The sequence below is a fragment of the Homo sapiens genome, chromosome 6 (assembly GCF_000001405.40).
Source record: "Homo sapiens chromosome 6, GRCh38.p14 Primary Assembly".
NCBI lineage: Eukaryota > Metazoa > Chordata > Mammalia > Primates > Hominidae > Homo > Homo sapiens.
In genome coordinates this window covers 26,689,311-26,697,395 of record NC_000006.12, presented here as the reverse complement: position 1 = coordinate 26,697,395, position 8,085 = coordinate 26,689,311, and positions in this window count along the sequence as shown.

The following is an 8,085-nucleotide window of genomic DNA, read 5'->3' as shown; positions in this document are numbered from 1 at the left end:
GTGGAATGGTTAACTCGAGCTAATTAACGTATCTATTACTTAGTGTGTGTGTGTGATGGGAACACTTAAGTCTACTCTTTTAGCAACTATAAAGTACAGAATACACTTATTATTAACTGTAGTCACCATACGGCACAGTAGATCTGACCTTATTCCTCCTGTTTAACTGAAATTTTGTGTCCTTTGACAAACATCTCTCTAATTCCATTCCTACCTCCCATCTCCTCCCCTAGCCCCTGGTAACTACCATTCTACTCTCTGCTTTGATGAGTTTGACGTTTTTAGAGTTCACATTTAAGTGAGATCGTGCAGTATTTGTCTTTCTGCGCCTGGCTTATTTCACTTAACACAATGCCCTCCAGGTTCATCGACATCGAAAATGACAGGATTTCTGTTTTTTAAAAGACTGAATAGTATTTCATTGTGCAGTTGTAATATTTTCTTTATCCATTCATCTGCTGATAGACGCTTAGGTTGATTCAGCTACTTTAGTAGTAATTCTGCAATGAACATGAGAGTGCAGGTATCTCTTCAATAGCCCGATTTTTGAACATATACCCAGAAGTGGGATTGCTGGATCATATGATAGTGCTCTTTTTAGTTTTTTGAGGAACTGCTGTACAAAACAGCTGCACTAATTTACATTCCTACCAACAACGTACAAGGATTCTCTTTTCTCCACATTCTTGCCAACACCTGTTATCTTTTGCCTTTTTGATAGCAGCCATTTTAACAGGTGTGGTTTTGATTTGCATGTGCCTGATGATAAATGACATTAAGCAAGTTTTCATATGCCTGTTGGCAATGTGTCTTCCTTTGAGAAATGTCTATTAAGGTCCTTTCTCCATGTTTTAATTGGGTTATTTGTTTTCTTGCTATTGAGTTGAGTTCCTGATGTATTTTTTATATCAACCACTTACAGAAGTATGGTTTGCAAATATTTTCTCCCAATCTATCGGTTGTCTCTTCACTGTTGATTTTTTTTGGGGGGGGCTGTGCAGAAGTTCTTTAGTTTCATGTAATCTTATTTATCTATTTTTGTCTTTTTGCTTTTGGGGGGGTTCATATCCAAAAAATCATTGCACAGACCAATGTTATGGAGCATTCCCCATATGTTTTCTTCTAGAAGTTTTAGAGTCTCACATCTTATGTTTGTCTTCAATCAATTTTTAGTTGATTTTTGTATGTGGTATGAGATAAGGGCCTCCTATCATTTTTCTGCATGTAGATATCCAGTTGTCCCAACACCATTTATTGAAGAGACTATCCTTTCCTCATTATGTGTCTAGGCACATCTGTCAAAAATTAATTGACTATAAATGTGTGGATTTATTTCTGCCCTCTCTATTCTGTTCCACTGGTTTATATGTCTGTTTTTCCACCAGTACTATGCTGTTTTGATTGCTATATATTTGTAGTATATTTTTAAAGTCAGGTAGTATGATGCCTCCAGTTTTGTTTTTGCTCAAGATTGCTTTGGCTATTTGGGGCCTTTTGTGCTTCCATATGAATTTTAAGGGTTTTTTTTTTCTATTTCTGTGAAAAATGTCATTGGGATTTTGATAGAGATTGCGCTGAATCTGTAGATCACTTTGGGGGGGTATGGATGTTTTAATAATATTAATTCTTCCAATCTATAAACACAGGATATCTTTCCATTTGTGTCTTCCTCAATTTCTTTCATCAGTGTTTAATAGTTTTCAGTATACAGACCTTTCACCTCCTTGGTTAAATTTATTTCTAAGTATTTTTTGTAGCTACTGTAAATGGGATCTTTAAAATTTTTTATTTTGGTTAGGTTGCCATTAGTGTATAGAAATGCTAGCTTTTGTATGTTGATTTTTGTATGTTGTTTTGTATTCTGCAACTGTACTGAAATTGTTTTTTATTTCTAACAGTTTTGATTTTTGGTGAGTTTTTTAGGGTTTTCTATATATAGGATTATGTCATCTACAAACAGGGACAATTTAACTTCTTCCTTTCTAATTTGGATGTCTTTTATTTCTTTCTCTTGCCTAATTGCTCTGGCTAGGACTTCCAGTACTATGTTAAATAGAAGTGGCAAGAGTGGATATCCTTGTCTTATTCCTGATCTTAAAAGGAAAGCTTTCAATTTTTTTCCCCACTGAGTATGATGTTAGATGTGGGTTTGTCCTATAAAGGCCTCTATTGTGTTAAGGTACATTCCTTCTATACCTAATTTTTGAGAGTTTTTAATCATGAAGGAATGTTAAATTTTGTCAAATGCTTTCTCTGCATCTATTGAGATGATGAGATGGTTTTTGTCTTTCATTCTGTTAATACGGTGGATCACACATTTACAGATTTGTATAAGTTGAACCATCTTTGTATCCCTGTGATAAATCCTGCTTGATCATGGTAAATAATTGTTTAAATGTGCTGTTGAATTCAATTCGCTAGTATTTTGTTGAGTATATTTGCATACATGTTCATCAGGGATATTGGTTTGTAATTTTTTTTTCTTTGTAGTGCTCTCCTCAGGCAATGGGTTCACGGTAATGCTGGCCTTGTGAAATGTGTTTGGGAGTATTTCCTCTACTTCAGTTTTTTGAAAGAGATCGAGAAGAACTGGTATTTCCTCTTTAAATGTTTCATCAAATTCAGCAGTGAAGTTGTCAGGTCCTAGGCTTTTCTCTGATGGTAGATTTATCACTGATTTAATCTCCTTACTTGTTTTTGCTCTGTTCAGAGTTTCTGATTCTGTCTTGCAAGTTGCATGTGTCTAGGAATTTATCCAGTTTTTAGGTTATCCAATTTGTTGGCATATAATTGTTCATAGTAGTTTTTAAATAATCCTTTGTATTTCTGTGGTAACAGTCGTTACCTCTTCAATTCATTTCTGATTACATTTCTGATTTTATTTGAGTCTTTGCATTTTTTTTCTTAATCAGTCTAGCTAAAGGTTTGTAAATTTTATTTACCTTTAAAAAAAATTCTTAGTTTGGTTGGTCTCTTTATTTTTTCTATCTTCTGTTTACTTCTTCTGATCTTTATCATTTCCGTCTTCCTACTAACTTTGTAACTAGCTTAGTTGATTGTTTTTCCAGTCCTTGAGGTGTAATGGATGCTAGGTAGTCTATTTGTGATCTTTCATCTTTTTTGATGAAAACTCTCTTAGAACTGCTCTTGTATCCTGTAAGTTTTGGTATATTGTATTTCCATTTTCATTTGTCCCAAAGTAATTTTTCAATTTCCCTTATGATTTCTTCTTTGACCCATTGGTTGTTCAGGAGCATGTTGTTTAATTTCCACATAGTTGTGAATTTTCAAAAATTCCTCCTGTTGTTGATTTCTTGTTTCATGCCATTGTGGCCAGAAAGGATACTTGATATGATTTCAGTCTTCTCAAATTTGTTAAGACTCATGTTGTGGCCTTATCTATGGCCTGTCCTGGAGAGTGTTTCATGTGCACCTGACCAGAATGTGTATTCTGGCTAGGACTTCCAGCACCATGTTAAATAGAAGTGACATTCTACTGTTGTTGGGTGGAATATTCTGTATATGTCTGTTAGGTCCATTTAGTCTAACGTATATATCAAGTCCAATATTTTCTATTGATTTTCTCTCTGGATGATCTGTTCATAGTTGAAAGTGGGGGACTGAAGTCCCCTCATATTATTCTATTGCAGTCTATCTCTTTCTTTAGATCTATGAATATTTGCTTTCTATATTTAGGTGCTCTAATGTTGGGTGCATATAAATTGATAATTGTTATATCCTGTTGATGAATTGACCTTTTTATCATAATATAAAGACCCCTTTCTCTCTTTTCACAATTTTTGACTTTAAGTCTACTTTATCTGATATAAGTATATCTGCTCTCTTTTCATTTCCATTTGCACAGAATGTCTTTTCCCATCTCTTCACTTTCAATCTGTGTGTCCTTAAAGGTGAGGTGAATTTCTTGTAGGCAGCATACAGTTGGGTCTTTTTTGGGATATATTTTTAATAATCCAGTTAGCCATTCTATATCTTTGTATTGAAGAATTTAATCCATTTACATGACGGCAATTATTGGCAGTTAAGGACATAGTATTGACATTTTGTTAAGTATTTTCTGGTTGTTTTTTAGGGTTTTTTGTTCCTTTCTTCCTCTCTTGCTGTTTTGATTGGTGATTCAATTATTTTCTGTGGTAGTATGCTGTTATTTGTTTCTCTTTATCTTTTGTGGATTTACTATAGGTTTTTGTCTCGTGGTTATCGTGAGGTTTACCTAAAACATTTTATAATTATATAATTATAACCGGCTATTTTAAACTTATAACAACTTAAATTTCAATCCCTGTTTATGTATTTCATATGTAGTCACATAACCATACCATATAAGTGAATAGCAAAAAACCAGAAATGTATTACAGAAAGGTGGCAAGGGGCAAGGCCATATTAAAGAGAAGAAATAAAAATAGATATAGCTGAGAAATGAAGATGAAGATGGCACACAGGACAGAAAGAACAGTGATGGTATAGAAATCTTTCAGTGTGTATTGTGGGACATACCTATTTAATTGGTGGGTGTGTGTGTGTATGTTTGTAAAATGCGTATTGATGGAAATAGTGTTGGGAAAGCCTAGACATTTGCAGATATATTGAGGAGAGGATTAACTCCAGGCGGGTGGCTTATGTAATCGAAGCAACATTTTAGGAAGAGGATTTTAGTTGTGAAGTTTAAAGAGGTTGGAATTGGAGAGAAAGCGAAATAAATTATTAAAAAAATTAAGGATCCAGGTTCATCCTCATTTATTCTGTCAGGTCCTGAGGTCAACAGCATGAGTCTTTCTTCATCATCAGCGCCTAATTCAAAATACACTCTAAATAAATGTTGTAGAATGGATGAAAGAACAGACAAATGAGAAAAGAATATTCTGGAGAGGTTGTATAAGAAGGCTCTACAGTATCTATAAAAACCCTAAGTATAAAGATTTGAGGGAGGAGAAGTCAAGGGCAATTGGGAGTTTTGAACCTGGGTGGCAGACACAAAAGAGATTCTGAATTAATGTCTGATAAATAGAAGAACTATTCCACTTATTCAGAGGTTCAAATGTAGATAGTAATGGATGTTGGGGTTTTTGGTTCTTTCTTCATTGGGCATGTACAGGTTGGGCTTGGCAATTATTTCACTAACACTCCAAGTAAAGGACTGTAAAAGGTAAAGAAAACCAAGAGAACGCAGGCTGCATTACAGAGGGTTGGAGCAGACATCCATTCCCCATACTCTGGGCCCAAAATAAGGTTATTTTAGTGGTGATGGGAAGAGCTTTTTGCTAATTGAGACTGAGATTTATGTGGAGATTTAGCCTCAAAAATAAGAAAGGCTGGTATCTGACACTGGAGATGACAGACAGAGAGAAAGCCAGAGTCAGGGAATGAAACATTTGGCATAAACTAAATCCTTAGAAAAAAGTCTCACAGGCAGATCAGGAATACGGTGTATGTGGCAGCAGGCAGTTAACTGTGGTTATTTCCATCTGCCTTGGGCCTCACCTTTGCAGTACTCTGTCTACTGTGTAATGTGATAACATCCAGGGAAAATTCCTCTGGATAACCTACTAAATTACAAACAGAAGAAATGAGGACATTTTTCAAGGTCACACATGAAACCTGGTAGATTTTTTTTCTGTAAGTGCACAGTGAGCTGGAGATTGACCTAATCATGCAATAAATGCTCAGCAGAAAATGCTGTAAAGCAATTCCTTCCTCATCAGTCCTCAGAATCTGGTGAGGGTGAGCTAGAAGGGAAGGGCAGGAAGGTCATGATCCACACTGAGCTGAGCAGTGGGACTGTCTCTGCATTTCACCTCAGGGAAAAGTCTGCTTCACTTTGAGCCTATGCCTTAGAGACACCAAGGAACTGGAAATGGAGTTTCCTTGATTGCTTGGGACTTTGGTGTGCAGTCTCGAGGCTTGAGAAAAAAGAACATTTTCATATTTGGCTCTGCCGTCAGTCTGGTAAGTGGGGTACTCTATTGGCTCATCTTCTGGCTGCCCACAGAGGCCCAGACCCCAGCTGTCAGCCTCTGAACTCCGCCACTTTTGCTCCAGACCCAGAAGAGTGGACTCATTTTCAACACTGAGGCCACAACTCAAATGTCACTGTCTCAGAGAGCCCTTCTTTGACCTCTCCAGCTGAATCAATGTCCTGTCTCTCTCTCCATCTTTTAAATAAAATTTTTAATAAATTGGAAAACATATTAAATTATTGTTTTATTTTCTATCTCTCCCCTAGAATATAAGCTTCTTGAAAAGCTGACAATCTAGATCCCCCAGTTTATACCCAGTGTCTACAGTTATGATAATACTTTTCTTGTATTTTCCTGTTCAGAAATCAGTGACATGCAGAGGGAAAGCTTTCTTCTGTGTGTTTTCTTTCACAGGGTAAGTTCAAAAAGAATTCTTAAACCAAGATAAGATGGCAAGCTGTGAGCCTTTCTGGTTTTCTGGAATGAGCAAGATAATTAGCCACAGGTGAAAATAAGCAAGATTCGTCTACCCATGAAGATTTTGCAAAGTTATTTCCACTTTGTAATCATAAAGTATGCCCTTTTGAGCTCTTACTGGTTTGATGAAAAGGCAATTGGCATGACAAATTTGTAATAAGTAGAAGTCATCAGCTTTTCCCAGTGGCCTGTCATGATCCTATAGTGGTTAGTATTCTGCCTTGTGGCTGCAACATCTGTGGGAATCTGAATATGACAGTCTGAAGTCGACTGCTTTTTTAATTAATCCCAGAAACTAATTCTAAGGCTTTAATGCGGAGCTAGGTTTTGTGTTATTTAGAACATATATAAAGAAAACCTTCTTTGACTCCTTTCTAGGCACTGATTATCAAACCAGACAAGAATGAGAAAGCATGAATTTTTACAATCCATTATCCTTCAGCTTCCCTTTTCTTTCCATCTCCACTCAAGGTGGTATCCACAGTTACATTTAAAAATGAGGAGCTATCAAGATGCCTTGCTCAAAGGTATTTGCAAAGTCTCAGAAGAATAAAACAACAGGTTTTGAAGGTGAATTAACAATGATTTTGTTTTCTGAGAGTGTGCATAGGATTGAATTCCAGGAGTAAAGCTGCGAGAGAGGCCAGCTTTTTAGGAAGGGCTTTGAATGTCAGGATAAAATGTTTAAGCACTGTAAGCAAAGTTTGCTGGTAAATGAATTTAGGAGAGACTGTAACTGAATTTGCATTTCAGTACCATTCCAATAGGGCACAGAGTTGAGAATTGAGTGCAAAGATCATGAGGAAGGTCAGGGTATTACCATAATGGTCTAGGCAGAGAAAGTATACATCTTTAATAGGGCAAGACAATGGAGTTAGACACCTTCATTCATTCAACAAATCTTTATGTGGGGGCATATGGCATGCCCCTAGGCTCTGGGGATGCTGAGTGCCTGTCTGAGGATTCAGCCACTGAATGGTTGCTAGATGGCATTGACCCATGGGTCACGAGTATGAGGCGCTTTAAAAATTTAATCTCATGTGGAATTACATGGGGAGATTCCAAGGAACCACTTGCGCTGGTGCGTCCGCGGCCGTCGCGAGGCGTCCGTCCTTCCCCGAGGGCGAGCTCCGGGCAGGCAGGGACTCGCCACCCGCAGCCCTGGAGCCGGGCCGTGAGCGCCTGCGCGGCGCTGGGTCGCTGTCCAGGAGATGTCTGCGCGGGAGACCCAGCTAAGCCTTGTGCGGCTACCTCCTCCTGGCTGATCCCAACCCGGTCCCCCAGCCACTCGATAGAAACACGATTCACATCGTCCCCGTTCCTGAGTGAAGGTCTCGTCTCCCACGACCTGCTTCGCCTCGCTCGTGATGATTTCCTACACTTGACTAGGGTTCCCGGTGCATTCGGCCCTCCCTCCTTAAGCTTCTGTCCTCTATCCGTTATGAAATCGTGTAACTTGTTTGGTGTGAACTGAGACAGCTGAACTTCGGAAGAAATTAGGCAGGATTCCCTGAAAAATGTGTGTGTGTGAGTGTGTGATTATATATATATAACTGCTCCTTGCGGAGCAGGGCTAATCAGGTAGCGTGCCCAGAGTAATCAAAATTTTTGTTAATTCTCAGGAGGGAGC